The sequence below is a fragment of the Homo sapiens genome, chromosome 13 (genome assembly GCF_000001405.40).
Source record: "Homo sapiens chromosome 13, GRCh38.p14 Primary Assembly".
Lineage (NCBI taxonomy): Eukaryota > Metazoa > Chordata > Mammalia > Primates > Hominidae > Homo > Homo sapiens.
In genome coordinates this window covers 28,229,105-28,254,645 of record NC_000013.11, presented here as the reverse complement: position 1 = coordinate 28,254,645, position 25,541 = coordinate 28,229,105, and the positions used below count along the sequence as shown (strand labels likewise).

Sequence of the window (25,541 nt, the reverse complement as noted above, 5' to 3'; positions counted from 1 at the left end):
AGAGCTGTTTTTAATCTAACTCTATATTGTACAGTTAATTAAAGGTTAATCCATACAGCAAAAATTATATTAGACTATTATCAATGGATAAAAACTCCCTACTTGTCTAAAATGAAATGCATTTAGACAGATTTTCCTAAAGCTAGTCTCTAAGACTTTCCAAAATAAACTGGCCAAGTAACCAAAGATGAGTAAATTTGTTTACTATTATGACATTAAGTAATACAACAGAACTACAATTCTTGAGCCCTTTCAATGTTTCAGGCACTAATCTAAGTGCTCCACATCCATCAATCTACTTAATCCTCACAACCACCCTGTGAGGTAGGTATAGCATATTTATTTCAGAGGAGAAACTAACTTAAAAGATCAAAATAATTACTGTAAGGACAAATATAGGTAATTCAGCAACATAATCAAGACTCAAACTCAGGTTGATTTAATTCCAAAGTCAGTGCTCTCAGCCAACATGCTATATAGTTGACCAATTCCTAAGTCTTACACACATACGAAAACAGGAAATCAATTACATGTTTTACTAGCTTTAGTGTGACTACTAAAGCTACGTGGGGATGGGGCTATGTGTAGCATTGGCTGAAGGGAAAGATTCTGACATCAAAGTAGGTATGTAAGTGAGACAAAAAGTAGAATCTCTCTTCAAGGCTGAGTACGTGGAAAGAGATTACCATAAAAACAATCTAAGGTGAGTTAAGATAGAAATTCACCTATAGTAGAATTTACTATAGGGTATCAAGAGTTCTCTTAAGAATTCTAAATTTTGTGAGGTTATTTTAATATAAAGTTGCAGAAATAAAATTTGAGTTCATCTGAGCTGAGGCTGACTGGAGTTACTTAAATACATTCAAATGTAAGCTGAGTGCAGTGGTGTGAGCCTGTAGTCCCAGCTACCTGGGGGACTGAGGCAGGAGGATCGCTTGAGCCCAGGGGTTTGAGGCTGCATGAGCCACAAAGCGCCCATGAACAGCCACTGTGCTCCAGTCTGGGTAACATAGCGAGACCCTGTCTCTCTAAGGAAAAAAAAAAAAAGGAAAGCAAAGAAAGAACATTCAAAATAAAACATGTACAACAGTAAGCATCACCACCCCCGCCAATAAGGATAATAGGATACTTAAATTGCATAGGAAATTAAAAACTAAATTACTGAAATACCTAATCTAATCACAAAAGACACAGCTTTGTGTCATCTGTATATTTTATAAGTGTGTTAAAGAACTGAGTAAAATATCTACACATCCACTTGGAGAGAGGTATTCTGTATTTAGTATTATGAAGACAATACTAACAAGATGCCCATTCTTAAGTGCCTACATACAGTACTAAATTATAAACAGCAAGAAAGAATAGAACCACACTACAGGAACAAGTAGTTTAAAATAGGATGCTGAATTAAAATGAGCAGATTCTGCTCAAATTAAGAAAATCTGATTGAAAGTTAAGAATTCTTAATTTAAAATGACATCTTCCATTGCATATTATTTAATGTTTAACCACAGGAATCTTACGCTAAAAGGGTTTCAGGAAACCATTTGATATAATAAAACTAAAGGTCTTCTTTTAATAATGAGGTACATCAGATACACTGTAATAGAAGTTTCTTCTTCTTCATTAGAAATTTCATGTTTCACACATAAATATTCTTGTATAATTTCAATCTTTCCATATACAGCAGGGAAAGGGCTACCAATGGTTACTGGAACACCCTGATATTAACTGACACTCAATCAACAGAGCACTACAGCAAATATAGTAATACATAGAAGATCAGCATAACAACAATCTAGAAGGATGAAAATTTGTATTTTAAATATTCTAAATTAAGAATATTTCACTTTCGTATTTCATTTTTTGTATTTTTTTTTGTCATTTACTCTTGAAATGACATTCTGATGACATCAGTATACAATAATTACACTGTAACTTCTAAAGTGAACATGCAAACTGAGATATTTAAAAGTAATATATGATAAATTAACTGCTTTAGGGCATTTGAAAAATGATTCTCAAAAGTACCCAATTCAAATAAAAGTAAGGAACAACACAGGAATGTCTACTGGAGAAATTAACTGGAACTAACAAAAGAAAGAAATGAGATTTTAAAAACTTCAAGGCTAATCTATAAAGGCAAAGCATCACTGTTTTTTTGGATAACACAATTCTATTTCTGGAAAACCTAAGAGAAACAACATAAAAAACTCCTGGAAAATAATTACAGAATTCATTAATGATTAGAAAATTAATATATACCAAATCAGCACCCTTCCTAAATACAACCAACCAGTTAGGACAATATTATTTCTGGAAAATGAGAGACTAAACTAACATGGACACCCTCCCTCAACCCCTACCAATGTTATGAACACACAGAACTGTGAGATAAAACACAACATCCCAACATTTAAAATATACCTGATCTTAAAAAAAAAAAAAAAAAAAAAAGGGCCCGTCGCAGTGGCTCACACATATAATCCCAGCACTTTGGGAGGCTGAGGCAGGCAGGCCACCTGAGGTCAGGAGTTCAAAACCAGCCTGGCCAACACAGCAAAACCCCATCTCTACTAAAAATACAAAATTTAGCTGGGTGTGGTGGTGCGCACCTGTAATCCCAGCTGCTCAGGAGGCTGAGGCAGGAGAATCATTTGACCCTGGGAGGTGGAGGTTGCCGTGAGCCGAGATCACACCATTGTACTCCAGCCTGGGCAACAGAATAAAACTCTGTCTCAAAACCAAACAAACAAACAAACAAACAAACCAACCCCAAGAGCAAGAAACTAAAGCAGAATCTGAAGCCAGGAGGTTATGTCGTGGAGTTTGGGGAATTATAAGCTAGGTCAGATACAGTCTCTACAAGTTGAGTTTCTAAGGCCCACAAGGGTACACGAAATGTGGCCATGAGCCCACAGAATACAGAAAATGAAACTAAAACCGCTGTGTAAAACCAGGACTCTGGAAAAGCAGTAAATACAGGACATTTCTATCAGCTCATAGAACAAAAAGGGAAGCCTGTCTGTCGAAGAGCAATGGAGAAAAAGGAGGAAGGTTGGAGGACTGGGGTGACGTCTTAAGAGAAATGGAAACCACATGCCTGTTCCATGCATAAGTATAAGAGAGAAAATCCTCATGAGATTCCATGTTACAGGAATCCCGACAAGAAATCAACACAATACTCGACCTGCTTTGGAAAAACTCTTCAGACACCTTGCTGAAGCAAACACCAAACTATTTTGATGAACACTTCCACAAAAATGACAACATACAAGAACCTTCCACAGAAAATAATCGCACTTAAAAGAACTCATAAGAACGAGCATGTACAACATACTTGAGAATTAGCAACACAAGAACAAAGAGTCCAGGTAACAGAACCATATAAAACAGATTATAAAATATAATTACTACGGAGGTGATTAAGAATATGAAAGAAGTGACAAACATCACAAAAGAATAAGGTGTCTGTAATTCTAAAACAGAGTGCACTGGCTCTTTAAGAGTGAAAACATAAGCATTAAAATTAAAGGGAAAAAACATCAAAAGATGCATTAAATAGCAAAGTAGATAAATCAAAGAGTGAAACAATAAATTAGATAAATCAAAGAGGGAAACAATAAATAAATAAATAAAGATCTGAGGAAATTAACCAGAAATAAAACCTGGAAAATTTAAAAGAGCAGTTAAGAGATACAAAATAATGAAAATGTAAATATCCAGGAAAAGAAGAAAAGAATACTGGAGAAGCAACATTCGAAAAAAAAGAATTGTGATTTTCAAGAACTCAGCACACAACTCCTCACTCAAGAAGTTCTAAGTTAAGAGTTCTCAGCAGAGGCTGAATGTGGTAGCTCAGACCTGTAATCCCAGCATTTTGGGAGGCTGACGCAGGCGGACTGCTTGAGGCCAGGCGTTAGAGGCCAGTCTGGGCAACATGGTGAAACCCCGTCTCTACAAAAAATATAAAAAATTAGGCCGGGTGCGGTGGCTCATGTTTGTAATTCCAGCACTTTGGGAGGCCGAGGCGGGTGGGTCACCTGAGGTCAGGAGTCTGAGACCAGCCTGGCCAACATGCTGAAACCCCGTGTCTACTAAAAATACAAAAATTAGTCAGGCATGGTGGCAACATGCCTGTAATTTCAGCTACTTGGGAGGCTGAGGCAGAAGAATCACTTGAACCAGGGAGGCAGAGGTTGCAGTGAGCAGAGGTTGCACCACTGTTCCAGCCTGGGTGATAAGAGTGAAACTCCGTCTCAAAAAAAAATTAAATTAAATTAAAATAAACCAGACATGGTATGCACCTGTAGTCCCAGCTACTCAAGAGGCTGAGGTGGAAGGATTGCTGGAGCCCAGGGAGGAAAATGGTAAAGCGAGCTATGATCGTGCCACTGCACTCAGGCCTGGGTGACAGAGAGATGCTGTTTAAAAAAAAAAAAAAGAGTTCTGAGCAAAATAAGTCCTTTCTACCAATTATGCAAAAATGCAGCATGCGAAAGACAAAGAGAAAATCTTAAGAGCTACCAGAAAAGAGACAAATGATCTAACAAAAGAAAAATAATTATGCTAACTGTATCAGCAACACTAAACAATGAAATTTTCAAAGGAGAAAAGATAACTGTCTACTTGAAATTTATATACAATCTACAAATGAAGAAAGAGAGACATGTTTAAGGTTTGTCACTAGCATCTCCATGGTGAAAGAACTATTAAAAGATCAACTTCACTAAAAAGGAAACTCCCCTCTTAAAAGGCATGGAATGTAAGAATATGTGAGAAAATTTGAATAAGCACTGACAGTAAAAGAATAAAAGTCAAAGTGTAACTAAAATTCTAGATAACTAAAACACTGAAGGGGGACAGGAAGGCTCAAAGTCATTAAAAATTCTTATTGGCCGGGCGCGGTGGCTCACGCCTGTAATCCCTACACTTTGGGAGGCTGAGACGGGTAGATCCCTTGAGGTCAGGAGTTCGAGACCAGCCTGGTCAACATGGTGAAACCCCGTCTCTACTAAAAATACAAAAAATTAGCCAGGTGTGGTGGCAGGCACCTGTAGTCCCAGCTACTCGGGAGGCTGAGGCAGAAGAATCACTTGAACCCAGGAGGTGGAGGCTGTGGTGAGCCGAGGTCACGCCACTGTACTCCAGCCTGGGCAACAGAGTGAGACTCCACCTCAAAAAAAAAAATAATAAAAATCTTGCGTTAATATTTTTACTGCCCATCTCTTCAACAATTCCATACTTAGTTAAAGCATGAATGGTAAAAATCTAGTGGTGACCACGTGAAACAGAAACATAATATATAACATCCAACACCTACTTCATACCATATACAAAAATTACTTCAAAATGAATCAAAAACCTAAATGCACAAAATACAACAAAGAAAACATAGGTATAAACCATTGTGACTTTTAGTCGAGCAATGGCTTCTTATGCTAAGACAAGTATTGCCAGTGGAGCAGATGCAAGAAATAAATAACAAACAAACAAATAAATAAATAAAAGATAGGACAAGTAAAGCACAAGCAACCAAAAACATTTTTTTAATCAGGCTTCATCAAAATTTAAAACTTTTTGTAACTCATAGGAAACTATCAAGAAAGTGAATAGGCAACTCACAAAATAGGAGAAAATATTTGCAAATCATATATTTAATAAAGGTCTAACATGCAATGGTCAGTTCAACAGATGTTGAAAAAAATATTTGCCAATATTTAACATCCCTTTATGATAAAAACAACAAACTGGGTAAAAAAGAAACTTACACCAAAACAATAAAAGCTATATATGACAAACCCACAGCTAACACCATATCGAATGAGAAAAGTTAAAAGCCTTTCCTCTGGCCCAGCACTTTGAGAGGCCAAGACAGGAAGATGGTTTGAGCTCAGGAATTTTAAACCAGCCTAAACAACATGGTGAAACCCCATCTCTACTAAAAATTCAAAAAATTAGGGTATGGTGGTATGCGCCTGTAGTCCCAGCTACTCAGGAGGCTGAGGTGGGAGGACTGCTTGAGCCCAGGAGGCGGAGGTTGCAGTGAGCCAACATTGCACCACTGAACTCCGGTCTGAGTGACAGAGCGAGTCCCTGTCTTAAATTTAAAAAGAAAAAAAAAAGAGCCTTTCCTCTAAGATCTGGAACAAGACAAAGATGCCCATTTTCATCACTTTTATTCAATATAGTACTGGAAGTCCTAGCCCCAGCAATTAGGCAAGAGGAAAAAACAAAGGCAAACAGTTTGGAAAGGAAAAATCTAAATCTAATCATCCTTGTTTGTAGGCAACGTGATATTATATTTAGAAACACCAAAAGACTCCACCCAAAAACTGTCAGAAGTGATAAACAAACTTAGTAAAAGTTTCAGGATATGAAACCAACTTAAAAAAACCAGTAACATTTATATATGCCAACAGTGAACAACCTGAAGAAGAAATCAAGAAAGCAATCCCATTTGCAATAGCTACAAAAAATATAGAATATCTAGGAATAAATTTAACCAAAGAAGTGAAAGATCTCTACAAGCAAAACTATAAAACACTGATGAAAGAAACTGAAGAGGACACAAAAAGAGTGAAACATATCCCATGCTCATGAATTGGAAGAATTAATATTGTTAAAATGTTAATACTACCCAAAGCAATCTACAGATTCAACACAGTCTATCAAAATATCAAGGACATTCTTTACATAAACAGAAAAAACAATACAAAATTCATATGAAACTAAAAAAACCTGAATAGCCAAAGCATTCTGACCAAAAATAACAAAGCACGAGACATCTACTACTTGCTTCAAAATATATTACAAAGTCACAGTAACCGAAACAGTATGGTACCTGCATAAAAACAGACACACAGACCAATGGAACAGAACACAGAACTTGAAATAAATACACATATTTATAGGCAACTAATTTTCCATAACGGTGCCAAGAACACCTATTGGGGAAAAGATGGCCTCTTCAATAAATGGTGTTTGGGAAACTGGATAACTACATGCAGAGAATGAAGCTATATTCCTTTCTCTTACCATATGCAAAGATCAAATCAAAGTGGATTAAAGACTTAAATTTAAGACTTGAAACTATTAGGAAAAAAACATTGGGAAAGCCCTCAGGACATCAGTCTGGGCAAAGATATTTTGCGTAAGATCTCAAAAGCATAGGCAACAAAAGCAAAAATAGACAAATGGGACTATATTAGACTAAAAAGTATCTGCACCGCAAAAGAAACAATCAACAAAGTGAAGACAATCTGCAGAAAGAGAGAATATATATGCACACTATCCCTTCATCGGGAAATTGATGATTAGTATAAAGAACTCAAACACCTCAATAGAAAAAATAAAAATAAAAATAAAAAAATAAATCCAAATAGTCTGATTTTAAAATAGGCAAAAGATCAGGACCGACATTTCCCAAAAGAAGACATACAAATGACCAAGTTATATGAAAAAAGTCCAGCATTATTAATCACCAGGGAAATGCAAATCAAAACCACAATGAGATCATATTACCCCAGTTAAAGTGGCTTTTATCAAAAAGACAAAAATAATGAATACTGGTGAGGATATGGAAAAAGGAGAACATTGGTATGCTGTTGATGGGAATGAAAACGAGTACAGCCACTATGGAAAACAGTATGGAGGTTCCTCAAAAAAACTAAAAACAGAACTGCCATATGATCCAGCAATCCCACTGCTGGGTTTATACAAAGAAAAGAAATCAGTATGTAGAAGAGACATCTACATTCCCACGTTTATTGCAGGACTATTCACAATAGCCGAGATACAGAGTCAACTGAAGTGTCCATTAATGGATGAATGAAGAAAATGTGGTACATACATACAATAGAATATTCTTCAGTCATAAAAAAAATGACATCCTGTCATTTTCAGCAATACAAGATGGTACTGAAGGTCATTATGTTAAGTGAAATAAGGCCAGGAACAGAAAAATAAACACTGCATGTTCTCACTCATATGCAGAAGCTTAGAAAGTAGATCTCATAGAGATAGAAAGAAGACTGGTGGTTACCAGAAGTTGAGAAGTGTTGGTGGGTGGGGGACTGAAGAGGTTGGTTAACGGGTACAAAAATACAGTTAGAAGGAATAAGACTTAGGGTTCAATAGTATAGGAGGTGACTACAGTTAACAATTTATTGTGTAATTCAAAATAGCTAGAAGAGAAGAAGTGAAATATTCCCAACACAAATGTTTGAGGGAATGGCTATCCCAATTTCTCTAATTTGATCATTACACATTGTATGCATGTATCAAAACAACACACATACCAGCAAATTATGTACAGTTATTATGTATCAATTTAAAAAAAACAGGTCTAGTATGAATAAGAATATAAAAACCACACAATGATTTAAAAAAATCAAACAAGTAAATTTAAAACTGGGCAAAGGATTTGAATGGACATTTTTTTCCAAAGAACACATACAAATGGCCAATAAGCACATGGAAAACTCCTCAAAATCTTTAGTCATTAGGGACACAGAAATCAAAACCACAATAATATACTGTTTCATACACACTAGGATGGCTATAATCAATTGCTATGACCCTAACAGTGGAATTGTGATTCCACTACTAGGCATATTACCGAAGAGCACTAAAAACATAGGTTCGCACAAAAACATGTACATGAATGCTCATAGTAGCATTATGCATAATTACCAAAAAGTGGAAATAATCCAAATGTCTATCAACTGATAAGCAGGTAAACAAAATATGATATATCCACATAATGGAATATTATTCACCCATAAAAGGAAGGAAATACTGACATACACTACAACACGGATGAACCTTGAAAACATTAGCTGAAAGAGGCTAGACATAAAAAAGCCACATATTATATGATTCTATTTATATGAAATGTGCAGCACAGGCAAATCTATAAAAAGTCAGAAAATAGATTAGTGGTTTTCAGGGAATGGAGAGAGAGAAAAACGGGAAGTGTTGGTTAACAGATACAGTTTCCTTTTGGGGTGATGAAAATGCTGTGGAATTTGAATGGTAATGGTTCCATGATCTTTTGATATATTAAAACCTACTGAATTACATACTTTAAAAGGATTGATTTTATGGTATGTGAATTATATCTCAATGAAAAAATTAATATTCAAATCACTGCTTGGGGGTAGGGAAGAGGAATCAAAAGGGATCAAGAAGACTATCAATCAAATGTGGGAGGGGTGTTGGGGGGACAATGAAATACAATGTAAAAAAAAAAAGGAACCCACTTACATTTACTAGCAGCAACAAAAAAGATAAAATCTGTAGATATAAACAACTAGAACTGTATAAGACCTGTATGAAGAAAACATAAAAACCTACTGACAGAAATAACAGATTACTTAAACAAAGGGGAATAAACACTCATTTGTTATAAAGATGTCAATTCTACCCTAAAATAATCTAAAATTATGATGCTAGCTCAATAAAAATACCAACAAAATTTAAAAATATTAGCCAAGCTGGCTGGCCACATTGGCTCATGCCTATAATCCCGGCGCTTTGGGAGGCCGAGGTGGGTGGATCATGAGGTCAGGAGTTCAAGACTAGTCTGAGCAACATGGTGAAACCCTGTCTCTACTAAAAATACAAAAATAAGCCGGGCGTGGTGACGCATGCCTGTAATCCCAGCTACTCAGGAGGCTGAGGCAGGAGAATTGCTAGAACCCGGGAGGCGGAGGTTGCAGTGAGCCAAGATCGCGCCACTGCACTCCAGCCTGGGCGACACAGCAAGACTCCATCTCAAAAATAAAATAAAATAAAATAAAACAAAATAAAAATATTAACCAAGCTAATTATATCTATGTGGGGGAAAAAAAGCATCAAGAATAGCCAGAAAAAAACTACTACTGAAGAAAAGAAAAACAATTAAGGATGAAATTGCAGAAAATTTAAAAGAAAAAAACAAAAACAAGATAAAAGTGGGCCATAACACCATTAGACACTGAAAAATGATCAAACCTACAGTAATGAAGATAGATGTTTGATAGAGGCTCATATGAATAGTGCAAAAGAATAGGACACCAAAACCGATCTCAAATATGTATATATAAAGTCAGTAAAACATAAAGGTTATACTTTATGTTATATTCAGACTTCAAGGGAGGAGATGACCTGCTCAATAATCAGATGTGACAACTTGCTAGCCATTACTAAACAATAAAGTGAATAAACAAACAGATGGTTATATAGATAAAATAAAAAAAGTGAATCTCCCTTTCATTCATTACACCCACATAAATTTCACATGAATATTCAGACTAAATATTTAAGAGTTTAAAATAAAATAACTCTCAGACTACTTTTTAAAATATGCTGTTATGAAGAAACAAAATCCGAAGGTCAAAAAATAAAATGTTCATCAATTTAACTTCTTCAAGAGACAAAAATTGCTACAGAACAAAAAAAGATACCTGCAACACTTAATAAAGGGCTAGTCTGCTTAACCTACAGTTCTTAAAATCATAAAGAAAACAGAAAGCAAGCAGTGGAAAATGAACAAATTATACAACTAGCCAGTTTGCAGAAAAGAAAAATGCCTCGAACATAAAAAGATGCTCACATCTGGTGCTAATTAAAAAGATGCATCTTTTCTGAAAGAGTTTATGTTTTAAAAAAAGAACTAGGCCAGGTGCGGTGGCTCCTGCCTGCAATCCCAGCACTTTGGGAGGCCGAGGAAGGTGGATCACGAGGTCAGGAGTTCGAGACCAGCCTGACCAACATGGTGAAATACCGCTCTACTAAAAATACAAAAGTTAGTTGGGCGTGGTGGCGCACACCTGTAATCCCAGCTACTCAGGAGGCTGAGGCAGGAGAATCACTGTAATCTGGGAGGCGGGCTTCACAGGGAGCCGAGATCATGCCACTACACTCCAGCCTGGATGACAGAGCAACACTCCCTCTCACAACAGAAACAAAAACAAAAACAAAACCTAAAGAGATAGAAATTAAAAGTGGCTCACTGTTAGCCTCTTCTCAGATTGGCATAGATTAAAAAAAAAAGTTTAATCAGACCATTATTAAAAGGCTGTGTGGAATATAAACACTGCCGTAGACTTCTGGTATCTTTTTAAGTCAATGTAGCAACACCTACCAATTAAAACATTTTCATTATGATAATGGCAAGTAATTCAAAGTGTAAGTAATTCAAATGAAGACAGACACAAATGAAAAATAAAAGCTGTGAATTCCATAAAAGTGAAAATTTTTGTTTTGCTTATGTTTTTGGCCCATAAAAGTCACTGAATAAATGCCTCATGAATTAGTGTCAAGGTTTTAAATCCATTCCAGTAAAATCTGGAATATTTGCTTCAACCAGAAAAGTTAAAAAGGGTATCCAAATCAAGTGCATCTGAGATTCCAGAGTGAAGATCATCCTAAATAGGGAAATATCAAAAACATTCTTTTTAAAATCAGTAACAAGACAAAAATATCAACTATGAGCACTTCTCTATAACATTGTACTAAAGGCCCTAGCCAGCACAAGATGGCAGGAAAAAAAACTGGAAGGGAAGAAATAAAGCTATCATTGTTTGCCATCATCCAAATACAAGAATCTACAAAATATTTGAAATAAGAGTTTATCAGGGTGACCAAATACAAAAGTTTACCATATATCTAAACATCAGAAATAATCCATTTAAAAGATTTTTTTAAAGACACCAATTATGATACCAGTGAGTACTACAAAGCATCCTGTATAAAGATACAAAATAAACCTAACGAAATATGTATAAGACCTAAACATGAATAATTACAAAACTTTGTGGAAAGACATTAAAGACAACCTGGGAACAACTGGAGAGGGAGAACCCATCCATGTTCACAGATTGGAAGACAATACTGTAATGAAGATTCTTTTCAAATTCTCTAAAGATTGATACAGCTTCTCTGAAGACACCATGATGCTTCATGTACCCACACATCAAAAAAGCTTCTCCTTCCTCTCATACATCAACAGCCGTACTTGCCAACACCAAATACTCTAAACCTCAACCTCACAGTAAATTCTAGTTCATCCTTCTGAAATACCTTCTTGATGAAGATTTTCTTGACACCCATATCTAAAAATTATTCCCATCACTTTGTTCTTCTTTTTGCTGCAAATACCACATGTGATTCAATTGTTCTATGGGGAAGAACTGTGCCTTAATCCTCTCTGTATTCCCATCTACACATGTAAATGGCACACTGTGTAGATGGGAAATTATTCAAAAAAATAATTTTGTTGAAAAAAAATGGATTAGAGGTGAAGATCTCCTCTTTTCTTGGTACCAACAACCAAGATGCTAAATACAGCAATAGCTATCATCATCAAATTGCCTGCACTGACAAAGGCCATCACGGAAGAAGTACTAAGTATAACAAAAATCTGGGGGCAGAGGAAAAGTAAATGATCATGCTATCAAGCAGCACATATGTCAGTCAATACTATTTAAAAGCAAACATGAAACAACCCACTAGACACTACGAGAGAAATAGAGGAATGTGAAGGAAGCTGGGATGAAGGACATTCTTCTGACAAAGTCTCATTACTCTAGTATGTGTTACTTTTTCTAGGTCAATGCAATCTGGGTAAACATGGGTTATACAAATAGTTTTAATGAAGTTCCAATAACCAAACTAAATCCTCAATAATAAATTGTCATGTCTAACTACATTGAAGATAATGATTTAGATTAGAAATTAATAAAACATATGTCATCTTGAACAGATGACTTGAGAACATGTGAAGCATTATCTTCTTAATAACAAGGCCAATATCTGGGGCTTTTGCCATGAGAAAAATCATACTAAGGAACTTATGTAATCATAATCAAAATACAAAAAATGCGCTACTACTACAAATACTTATTCATTTTTAACCAAATTCCCCAAATCACCCAAAATTAAAGAATACACACTTATAGCCCAAAACACAGACACTGTGTTTATATCCCCAAATTCTAAGAGTCCTAAACATGTTAAGAATTAATAAAGTCTCTTCTTTGATTTTCCTTATGATTCAAAGAGTAGAAATAAATAAACTATCCAAAGTTGAGTTCAACGAAGCCTCCCTCACAACCCCACCCCTGCCACCACCACTTGTTATTTCAGTGCTTCAGAGACAAGCTTTATTCCTCAGACCATTTCTATCACTGGCTCTTCTTAATAGAAGAAGAAACTGAGTTTAAGGAAGGTATTTCAGCATAATTACTATTGCAATTAAAGTTTGAATGTCACAGCATTATTTGCAATTGATGCAACCTAGTCAAAAAAATTCCCAAGCTCCAGATGACTATATACTATATGCAAGTACAGCCTTCTGTTGAAGAGAACTTTCTTTTTTCTTTCTTTTGTCCTTTTTTTGAAACAGCGTTTCACTCTGTTGCCCAGGCTGGAGTGCAGTGGCGCCAACATGGTTCACTGAAGCCTCAACTTCCCAGGCTCAAGCAATCATATACTGCCTCAGCCTCCCTAGTAGCTTGGATCACCAGCACATGCCACCACCCCTGGCTCATTTGTGTATTTTTTGTAGAGACAGGGTCTCAACATGTTGCCCAGGCTGGTCTTGAACTCTGGACTCAAGCAACCTTGCCACCTCGGTTCCCAGCAAAGTGTTGGGATAACAGGCATGGGCCACCACATCCGGCCGAAAAGGAAAATTTAAAAGTGGACACAAATAAAGATATGACTGGGACAAACAAGACATAGGCATATGTATGTTTTAAACATGGATCTCATCCCAGAATAGAGTGTACAATATAAAACCAACCACTTCACCATCCAAAAATCAACAGAATCAGAAAGTAGACACTAAAATAATACTAGCCTTTACTTCTTTCCTCAAAATAATTTCATTTTTTCAATCAAATTAACCTTTGCAGAGAAAATCAAATCTGGCAAAAAATGTTCTTAATCAAAAGTATCAAGCTTAACAAGGTAATAAGAATCATGCAGCTATGGAGCGAAAGTTGAATTTTCTGCAAACTCATTTGTCTAAAGCCCAATTTTCTAAACTCTGCCATGATGGATGACTATTTGTACTTCTAGCCTAATCAATCAAAGATATTTAAAGAATCTACTCAAATACTGGCTAGGTAATACTATCATTACTCCTATATATTTTCAACCATCCCAACTTTCAAATGATTAAAATAAAATTTATACATTTATAATCTTTTAATTCTTAAATAACAAAATTATATGCGTTATCACACAGACACAGCTTTGGGATTTTCTATGTCATCCCACAGCATGTTTTATCTTCAAAAAGACAATCCACTGTATCCCTGTATAATTATGGCCCAGAAAATTAGGGTATGAAGCTTTTTATTCTGTAGCTTAAATCCCTCATGTTTCAGATTAAAAATCCATATAATTAAACATTATAATTAATCTCATTTCCTCAAAGATTGATTTTTAAAAGCCTGTAAAGTTTTAGGGTAAAAATTCATTATATCTTATTAATAAAAGTTATCTAAAAAGCATGTTAGCCATAAGCCAAAATATACTCACTAAACTAGCAAAATATTTACTACTCAAATTAAGTTCCATTAAATCTTAAAAATTCTAAGCCACAAATGCATACTACCTTTGTAAAGATGAAATAATCCAAGTGTCAAAAAGTTTACTTGAGAGAAATGTTTATAACCTCATATATTTTAAAAAAAGAAACTTGGATTCATAAGTAGACTGCAAAGCTTCTATGCTGACCTCTCAGTGCATACAAATTCTTGCTGGCAAAAAAAGCAGTAAAATTTATCCACTTTAAAGAAGTTTGACAATAAAATAAAAACGAAGTCAGTAAGAATACTGATGTTAATTGCCAGAACTGATTCCTTCACAAACCCTGTTTTCACAACAGCAACCCCTTATGATTAGGGGAATTAAAAGTTGCTGAACTCAACAATCCCTTCAGTTAAACAAACAGACCCCTCATAGAGCTGTCCAACGCTGCCCAAACTATCCATCCTTTAGTCGAATCAGTCAGTTTCATGAATTGTAGGATTTATCTTCAAGTCCAGTGCTGACTCAGAGGGTAGCTTGTTCCCTAGAGAAAACAACCAACAAAAATCAGAACAGCTACTGCTCATAAGCTCTTTCAACACCCAAGTGGAAAGGACAAACTTACTGGGTCCAAAAAAATAGTTCAACTTCCTTTCAACTACAGAAGTAGCCAATGAACCAAAGGCATCTATATGTCATGGGCAGTTCTTGATTAAAGCTTTCACTCAGTTACAGTGAGATTGTTAAATAGCTAACAAAGTTTTCAAGAGAAGCTATAGCACAAACCATATGGTTTCTCACTGGGAAAAAATATGAAGGGAACATAAATGGAAAGTATTATAAGGGCCAAAGCTATTTTCATTTTGTTGTATTTTTTCTTTGACAAGTTGGTTACTTTCCGTGTGTGTGTGTGTGTGTGTGCGTGTGTGCATGCGTGTGTGTGTGTGTGTGTGTGTGTGTTGGCGGGGGTGGGGGGTGGGGGGGGTGGGATTAAAAGTCTCCACCAGAAAAGCAGTTTGGATATCTAGAGTAACTCTGCTTAACGCCATACATAATGAACTAGTGAAATGTTACATAATTCCTTAAATTCAAGGTTCTGATTCACTTGTTAAATAAAATATTCTGAATCAAAAGATTGAAAAGAGTAACATGTTCTGTTTCAAGACCTCAAATAGTGGCTTGCCTTCCTTATTATGTCTAAACCCAAAAAAAAATCAACATGCATAGCCTTTGAGCTTCAAGATATGCCATAACAAAACAAGGGAACATTCCCATTTTATGAGTTAGTGGTTTTATCTATAATACACTATTATGAAAAAAAAGGGGAAAAAATAAGAAAAGGAACTAAAGAGCTCAAGCTAATTTCATAACACTGAAACATCATTTTTCCTTTTGTATGAATTAGACTGAAAGTTTTTTTGTTTACAAACGTTACTCAAGCCTGCATCCAGACAGAATCATGAAGGTGGCCAATACAACTTTTCATTAAAAAAAGTATCAATGCTATTAATTAATCAAATGAAAATCTATCCTAATTAAAATATATCTTTCTCATTTCCAAGTTTTAACATGAACAAATCTTGATTCTCAGCCATAAACTCAGTGCCTAAGAGCTCAGACTTGTGAAATACAATATAGTAGTGACCATGCATTGTCTTGAAAATTGTACTCATTTGAATATAGGCATCTGACATTTTGGTTAAGTGTCTTTTTTGTTTGGTTCCTTGGTTTTTAATGCCTTATTGATTCCTCACTTTCCCAACCTTTCAAAAGGGGTTTCAGGGGGATTAAGCACCAATGAGCTAAACACCCATTGTATAATGCCACCTGATAGACATTACCCTTTGCAGAATGACAAAATAATCGCTTATATCACTTTTCTGTACTCTTTGGTTCAAATGAGGAATCTCAGCTAAGAAAAGTGCTGCAGCCTTCCAGCCTCCTTAACCTATGTACTGGTAAATTCCCTCCTACTGAGAAACAGGCCACCTATGGCAGTGGTTTTAAAACAGTTTTAACTACACCTTAGGCTTCCAGCAGTGCCTCGGGGTTTTGTAAATGCCTGATTTGAATTTCTTTTTATCTGTTTTTCCACTGTTTATTAAATAAATAAAAACACACAAATGCAGGTCAAATTAACATGCATTCATGTTTTAACATACCAACACCAATATACTTAATTTTGTGTTGGGTTAGGATATTTTCATGCAGACCTCAAGGTAAAGCCTCTCTCTTGTCACCATTGTGCATACATACAGATGTTTTTTATTAGGAAGGTAGTGACTCTGCAATAATCTTTGTTTAAATGCACATGTACTCAGAGAAACTTGAACACATGAGTACACAACTTACCCATGGAATTCATGATTTTCATGTTACTATATGATTAAAAATATAAAAAAGGAGACTTGAGGGATACAAAGTTAATTATTATTCTTCACCCACCAATTTCAAGCTATTATATTCAATAAAATACTACATAGCCTTGTTATTCTCACTGAATAACTTTATGAGTTAATGTAATAAACCCGAACCGGTAAATTCCAGCTTTATCTGCTTTATGTAACTTTAGGTTTGGGGGTTCACACAGGACTTCACAAGAGTACTGCTGCTATTTTTTAAAAATGTATGAAAACTAATGTTCTAAGCTCTAATTAAGTTTTGGTGCTTCTGGTTCACAGGTTCTCTAGGGGCAGAAATGATAATTAAGTCTTAAGGTTTGGTTGCCTGTTCATTTCTGAGTTCCAGTGATATAGTTAGGTTCCAACCCATCTTTTCCAGTCTTATTACCTACTAGTCTCTTCTCCCCACATTCTGACAACCCTCAAGAAACAATGTGCCAAACTCTGTGAAGCTGATGGCAAATAAAACTGTTAAAAAGATTTTAAAAGAGGAGCATCAGGTACTTAACATGTAAAAAAAAAAAATCTGTCTACCTCTAGGCCATTTTCCATTAATTTTTCCATGTTCCAGCCCAATCTAATGTTTTCACTGGCCTAACAATGCTAATTTTAAAACAAAATTCTACTCTTTGGATATAAATATTTGAAAAGATAAAAAGAAACTCCACATAACAAAAGCAGGGACTAAGAGCCTAAGACAGAGCTCTGTAAAACAAAAGAATCCATATGATTTCAATATTCTAAATAGTCATGCAAAATCATCACTTTTAGAGAGCTGATATTTAACCAATATGCACTGATACCAAGGTACTGTTTGCTTTTAAGAAAAACAAACAAAACAAAACAAAACGCTTTGGGAAGCCAAGGCAGGAGGATCGCTTGAGTCCAGGAGTTCAAGACCAGGCTGGGCAACAAAGGGAGACCCCATCTCTACAAAAATAAAAAGAACCCTGCTCTAAGCCTATGGCTTGGAACCATGCCTGAGATTTTCTTCACAGATGTTCATTCAGTCTTCACCTAATTCAGACTGAATTAATTTTTAAACATTCACTGAGAACATTGTCTTTATGCTAAACTGGTTAAAACAAATAGAAAAAATAACAAACTTCACTGACTCTCAACTGCCCATTTTTAAAACAGATAAAAAAATCTTATCCTTCCTTTAAAAACCATCTCAGTTCTTCTTCCATGAAAGTTTTTTCCTTTACATCCTCATTCAAATCAGATAAAATTTACCTTCCTTCAAATTTTCTGGCATTTTGAACATTTTTTACTCTAGATGTAAAGGGGTATATGTTAGAATCTCCTGTGAATTTTTTAAAAATATAGATAAAGGCTGATGCTCCAAATCTGTGTTTTTGATTTAATAGGTCCTAGATGGGGACTAGAGAATTTATATTTTCAAAGCACCGTATGTGATTCTGATCTGTACCTATATATGAAAGCTCACTGGAACCAGCATGAGATCAAACGCTGAGCAAGATTCTAAAAATTGAAGATATCGAGAAATAAAACCTAGGTCTAAACTCACACAGTTCACATTCTACCATAAAGCTCATTAAAATGCTTAAAAATGTTCAATCTTAATACTTAACTGTAGCTCTTCATATGTGAGCACAATAAAGGATAAAATACCACAGGAGCATTTAACTTTAGTGGAGGAAATAAATACGTATAAAACTAACATGAAGGCCATGCACGGGGTTCACGTATGTAATCCCAATACTCTGGGAGGTGGAAGCAGGAGGATCATTTGAGGCCAGAAGTTTGACCAGCCTGGAGCAACTTTCACCAGCCTGTAGCAACCACAACTCCATAAAAAAAAAAAAAAAAATTTAAAAATCAGCTGGGCATGGTGGTGAGTGCCTCTAGTCCTAGCTACTCCACAGGGTGAGACAGGAGCCCAGGAGTTTGAGGGTGCAGTGAGCTACAATCGAGCCACTGCTCTCCAGCCTGGGCTACAGCCTATCTCTAAAATAAATACATATATATATATATGTGTGTGTGTGTGTGTGTGTGTGTGTATGTGTGTGTGTGTATATTAGAGAAAGACAAAAATACTAAAAAATTATGAGATACTCAACACACTATAAAAGCAAAGAAATGGGAGATACTATAATGACCAGAGAAGTAGCTATGACTTCCAAGAAAATGACATTTGACCTAATCAATAAAAAGCAGGCAAAGATCTCAATAAATAGGAGAGCCTTCCAGGCAACATAAGGCCCAAGCAAAGGCACAGAGATGATGGGGAAAAGGCTGACCATGTTCAAATACATATTCTTAAAGAACAGGAGATGTACTTCATAAAAGAGTGAGGTCCTATATGAAGTAGAGTCAAAGGGACTAGGTCCATTTAATCAGAAAAGAAAGATGGCAGTATTTTAATAGAACCTTCAATTATTTAAAGGAAGTAAACAGGGGAAGAGGATGGAAAATAATGGTGGGAAACTTCCTTTACATTGTCAAAGGCCTTTTTTTATAAGTGACACTTTAGCAGGGACCTAAGAAGAAGAGAAGGAACCAGCCATGGAAGGAATGGGAGGAATGACACATGCAGAGAACATGAATCAAAAGGAGCTTTACATTATTTGGGGAATGTCAGTAAAAGGCCAGAACGGAGTACACAAGGGAAAGAATGACAGGTGAGATTATAGGTATATAAAACAGATTATGCAGGCCATGGTAAGGGGCTTGGAAATTATTCTAATGACAATTTAGTCATGATTTGGTCTATATTTAAGATTACTTTTGTTATTATACAAAAAAGAAATGCAAGGGTAGACCAATTAGCCTAAATAGTGCATGGAAGCGGCTATGATGGCAAGAGTAAAAAAAGGAAAATAGAAGACAGTTCATAGATATAATATGAAAGCCAAGTAGATATGGAAAATGAAGATCACAAAAATAAACCTTAGGTTTCCTGTTCAAGAATCTTTCTTAAAATGAAGGTTTTGAAATTAAAAACAAAAAAGAAAGAAAAATAAAGAATACTCAAGAGGAAGATGATCAGTTTACTCAACTTCATAAAAGCCTAGAGAAGAAAAAGCCTTAACTCAGCAAACAGAATGTAGGATAAGAGTTAATAAATTCTAAAATGAATTGAGGTATGAAGACAAGTTAGGACATACTTTCCTAAGGCAATTAAGAGATTTTCACATAGCTTAGGTAGTAGCTACAGAGAAAACTGAAGATGGGAAAATGAATTAATCAGTTTAAAACCCTTGTTACCTATAATTTTTACAGCATATAGAAATTATACATTCACATGCACACCAATAGTATCTTCATAATCATACAAAACTCCAAAACATGAAAAATTTTAATTTTTCATAATAAACAATATATTAAAGTTTTCTTCTAATTATTAACATATGGAGGCCAGTAATCTCAGCACTTTGGGGGCCAAGGTGGGAGGACTGCCTGATCCCAGGAATTCAAGGCCGCAATGAATTATGATCACTCCACTGCATTCCAACCTGGAAAAGAGAGCAAGACCCTGCCTCTTAAAATAACAACAACAAAACCCACATGGAACTGAAAGTAAGAGGAAGGGGGAAGCCTGTTCTCCCTGACTGTACCAGACCACACTAGTGCTTCTTAACTGCCTCAACTCTCTTAAGGCACTGGTTCTTAAATAGGATTGACATCACAATACCTGAAAGGCTTTCTAAAAAAAGACATTTATAGAACTGAAAGAAAAGAAAAATGGAGGTCTGGATGAGAAACTGGATTGGTAGGTTTAGGGGTCCTGGCCAGCAATGTATATTTTAAAAGCACCTTGGGAAATGCTGATACACATCTTTGGTTAATTTTTAAAAGATTAACATGAAATCAATGTTAATGCAATAAAACAGAATTTCTGATGAAATAAATGGAACTATATTCTTTTTACAGAAATACAAAGGGAAAACATCAGGGAGATTAGATTTTAGAAAGACTATAAACCTGATATTTGCCAGTGAAATTATAAAAGCCTTTTTAATTTCTACACTGATTTTATGACATCCTGAGGTACCTCTAAAGCTTCCTCAAGGAATAAATGTTCAAACACAAAATTAATTTGCAACATAAAAAAATGCACACAGCTACACAATATACTTTTCCTCCAAACAAAATAAGCCACAATTCTAATAAGAATGTCTTAATTTCCAGGCCGGTCATGGTGGCTCATGCCTGTAATCCCAACACTTTGGGAGGCCGAGGTGGGCAGATCACTTGGGGTCAGGAGTCTGAGACCAGCCTGGCCAACATGGTGAAACCCCATCTCTACTAAAAATACAAAAGTTAGCCGGGTGTGGTGGTACACGCCTGTAATCCCGGCTACTCAGGAGGCTGAGGCAGGAGAATCGCTTGAGCCCAGGAGGCCAAGGTTGCAGTGAGCCGAGATCATGCCACTGCACTCCAGCCTGGGCAATAGAGTGAGACTCCGCCTGAAAAAAAAAAAAAAAAGTGTCATAATTTCCAAATATTAGGAAAAAATGCACCTAAGCAAATCACAAAAATCCCTTCTCCTCTATATGAGGTTTTTAACATAATTTTTTTCCACTTTTTAAAGAATTACTAAAAGCAACCATCTGAAGTTACTACCCATGATTTTCCTAACTATACCAATACATTTGCCTTTCAGAATTACTGATTTAAAATTTTCGTATTCTAGTTTAACAATCTGCATGCTGGATATCTATTAAGCTACTCAAGAAAAAAAAAGATAATAGTATTCTAATCTGTAAATTCAGATGTTTTATAATGAATCTAACCTAAAAACTTGTTCTGTAAAATTGATGAGGAATATGTACACTCACAAATCATTATTTTCATAGAGGCCTGATTTCCCCATAGATCACAGTTATGTTATTTTCTGTCAACAGGTTACAATTTTAGCCTAACATAATAAAAGGGAGTCTTTAAAAAAAAGTTTTTGGATAAGGGTTGCTCACCCTCGAACTCAAATTAACAGATCCCTTATCTAAACACTTAATGTGATTCCTAATACATGTATATGTAATTCTGTGCATATCATTTGTGTTTATGCCAATGGAAATTAAATTCTCAATACAGTATTTTATAAATTTTTTATTTTTTAATCTTTATAAATTTTTTAAAAATATATTATAATGCAGAACACTTCATGAATTTGGATGTCATCTTTGCACAGGGACCATGCTAGTTTTCTCTGTACTGTTCTAATTTTAGCGTATGTGCTGCCAAAGTGAGCATACATTTCAAAGATTTTTTTTTTTTACGTTGAAGCTACTAGAGCTTCATCTTCTATATGCAAATATAATATATCCCATTTAAAGTGGGTCAAATCAATAGTTACCATTAAAACAACAGTTTTTTAGGATGTGATAGAACAATTTTCTACTCTTGAAGTATCCAACATCTAGATTCGGGGTAAACTGAACCTTGGATTCAAAGACTATGCTCTTTATGATACCTAATTCTACTCTTATTTTGCTGTCCTTCAATGTCTATCTTAACAACAGTCACTTCTTGGAAATTTCTAACCCCTTATCCTCATTTTTACAGCCTCCGGGTTGCGGGGGATTAGGAATTCTGTGAATGAGACTACAAAGATATTACAAATAAAGTATTCTTTTTCATTTTTTTGAGAAGTAAACAAGAACTGGTTTTCACTTTTGGGTAAATATAAAGGAAAAGTGCTAAATGTTTACCTTATGACTGCGTAACAGTGACATTTCAATTATAACACCATGAACTGATTAAAAGTACAAAATCTCTTTATATTATGCAATAAAACGACAAATTTCAAAGTACTCTAAAAAGATTTATTTATTTATTTATTTTCATTTTCAGAGACAGGGTCTCACTGTGCTGCCCAGGCTGGAGATCAATTGTGTGATCATAGCTCACTCCAGCCTTGAACTCCTGAGCTCAATCAATCCTCCCGCCTCAAGCTCCCAAGTAGCTGGGACTACAGGTGTGTGCCACCATACCTGCCTATGGTTGTTGTTTATTTGTTTTGAGACCAGGTCATGCTGTGTTGCCTAGACTTATTTTTACATGTAAATCACCTTTAATAGAGGCCATGTGGATCTAACCCAAATAATTGCAACTTAATTTCCATCTCTGATTTTCCCCTTAATAACTACAGAATTTCATCAACTAATTTATATAATCCTACTTCATTTTGGCTGAATATCTATCTATGATAGATACTTAAGACTATCTGGTATTAGAAATACTGTAAGCATTAACAAAATAATTAAGTACCTTAAAGCTTTCTCATAAAATGTATTTAATCTTATTGACCAAACTCAGGCACATAATGTCAATTTATATGATGAATTTAACCTGAGCTTTATCAAACACACAGTCCTCAATATTTGATAGAGATCACAGCCTGCACAACTACTTTGTTTTCCTGGTCTACACATAGTAATCTTCCCTTTGACATAACTTCAGTCTTGCCTGTATTAATGGTGTCATTTCTAGATGAACTGTCATTAATTAATTTAACAAATATCATTAGACTATTGATTGTATAAAGTGCAGTGCCTAAATCCCAAAAACATGAATAATTCAACATATTTTAAAAAACCAGCATCAGGGTTTTAACTATACTAGTAGGAATCTTACCCACTGGCCTATAATAGTAGGTTACTTACTTCGGTCTCTATGTTTGAAGAAACAAAACAGTAACCTACCTGCTTGTCCCCAAACTTGGCCAAATGATCTAAAATGATGGGATCTCCCTAGACTCTACAATGGTGGCAATCTTTTAAATAATAACACTTACTTAAACGAAGCATCAAAACAGAGGGAAGAAAGGTGTTAGCTACTAAATATAACTGTTTTGGTTGAAAAGAACCATTTTTTTCTTCTTGAGTGGTAGTGACTGTTTGAGTAAATGGTGTCCTTCATTCATAGTGATAAATTGTGTTGTGTTGTTTACAAACAAGAAACTTAAAGACAAGAGTGTCTTATGAAAATTAATTACAAAAATTCACACAAAAAAGTAAGATTTAGTTAACAATGTAATTTTAATTTTGGATTTCTTTCCAATGAAAAAAGCTACCACCAAAGTACAAACAAAAATTAAAGTTGATCTCCAGAAAACTGTGGTTGAATCAATAAGTGCCTCTTATTTATCTAACATTAACAACAATTTAGTTGTTTTCTCTTATTTTCTCTTTCTTTTTTTGCCAGGACATGTTCTCATGTGAACAATTTAGTTGATTTTTTTGTAACAATTTAAAAACATACATATTAAAGTGTAACATGTAAATAAAAGATATCTGATTACTAGTTCCAGAACCATAGGGTTGTTTTTTTTTTCCATCCATGGAACTCTGCTTGAGGGTTTTATATTTTAAACAGCCACAGTACTTATGCTACTCATTTCCTAAGTATTTTGAAAAACTAAAAGTTATAGTAACTAATTTATATTTTGTCTCACTAACATTACCAAGGTGGAAGGAATCCGTTTCCCAGATTTATTCATGACTAAGCATCGGCAACTCCTATATTCATGAATTCAACAATAACTCTAGTTATTCAGAACACAGACATTAACCAGAAATGAAGTGATACTAGCCTCAGCCAAAGGATAATATAAAGCTCATGTACCTTATTCACAGGAAACAATTCAAGTCCTTGACTCAAAGCCTTTTTCTCATTTAAAAAAAAAGAAAAAAAAAAAGAGGTACTAAAAGATATCTTTGTGTTCTTAGCTCTCAGCAGATTAGGAGGAGGATGAGAAAGGGAGATTAAGAGGAAAGAGGAGATAAGAATGACAAAAGTTCTAAATCGAGCAGTCATTCTCAAAATGAAGTCCCAGGACAAGCAGCAGCATCAGCAACACCTGGGAACACATCAGAAAAGCAAATCTTCCCTGGTTCACCCAGAGCTACTAAATCAGAAACTCTGGGGATGGAACCACGCAAATGCTGGAGTTTAACAAGCCTCTAGGTGATTCTGGTAGACTGAAATTTGAGAATCACTGTCACAAACAGCACAACAGAATTACCAATAAAAAAGCCAATAAAAACAAAAAAAATGATCAAAGTAAGCTTGCCAGATTATGGCCATTCAAGGCACTACTTTCAGGCACTTTAAGAGACTCAGAAGCAAGAGAAAGACCTTACCTTCAAAAAGTTATAACTAATTCATTGGAGCAGAAGACCAGTGGAAAGAATAACAAATCTAAGTAATCACATAACTTGAAATAAACTCCTCTACAAACTTGGATATGTAAAGAGTCAGTGTATTCTGGTTCAATACAATTACTGAGGCACATATAGTTGAACAAGAGTCATCAATAAATAAGATTATATTTTGTTTTAAGCCAGAGAGTACTATGGAAAAATTTTGGAAAATATAAAGTTCTGACAATTAAAACTGTAAGCTTCTGATACCCAAAAAATTCAAGTATGCTGGAAAGATTCATTTCCCCTGACGCTAGATAAATCAGTTATTGCAGCTGCTTTGGTGATATTTTTAAAGTCATTACAAAAGATGCAAATGAGAAAATATCTCAAATGTATATTCATGAGATAACCAGGATCAACTGTTAAAAACTTTTGCTTCTAAAGGAGGCTGGGAAATGTAGCCAAGCTGCTTAAAATAGTTTAAGTCCAGATTTTAGTCAAA

The 25,541-nt window shown here is 35.2% G+C and overlaps 1 protein-coding gene and 1 pseudogene across 14 annotated transcripts in view, besides 1 other annotated feature; both read right to left on the bottom strand.

Annotated features, from left to right (window-relative positions):
• PAN3 (poly(A) specific ribonuclease subunit PAN3) overlaps positions 1-25,541 on the bottom strand; it is a 157,143-nt gene that overhangs the window by 40,690 nt on the left and 90,912 nt on the right. Inside the window, exon 2 of one of the 14 annotated variants that reach the window (XM_047430252.1) lies at positions 14,950-15,067. The exons of the other annotated variants lie outside the window; for them this stretch is intronic. Within the exon in view, the coding sequence (XP_047286208.1) occupies positions 14,950-15,013 (64 nt within the window). The 5' untranslated portion in view covers positions 15,014-15,067. The remainder of the gene's footprint in view (positions 1-14,949; positions 15,068-25,541) is intronic. 14 annotated transcript variants of the gene reach the window in all.
• Positions 16,072-16,727: an enhancer, noted in NCBI's record as "NANOG hESC enhancer chr13:28812056-28812711 (GRCh37/hg19 assembly coordinates)". NCBI's record gives its function as "activates a minimal SCP1, AML or CMV promoter by ChIP-STARR-seq in naive H9 embryonic stem cells {active_cell/tissue: H9 hESC(naive)}" and the evidence as "EXISTENCE:reporter gene assay evidence [ECO:0000049][PMID:30033119]".
• RNU6-82P (RNA, U6 small nuclear 82, pseudogene) lies at positions 22,039-22,145 on the bottom strand (annotated as a pseudogene).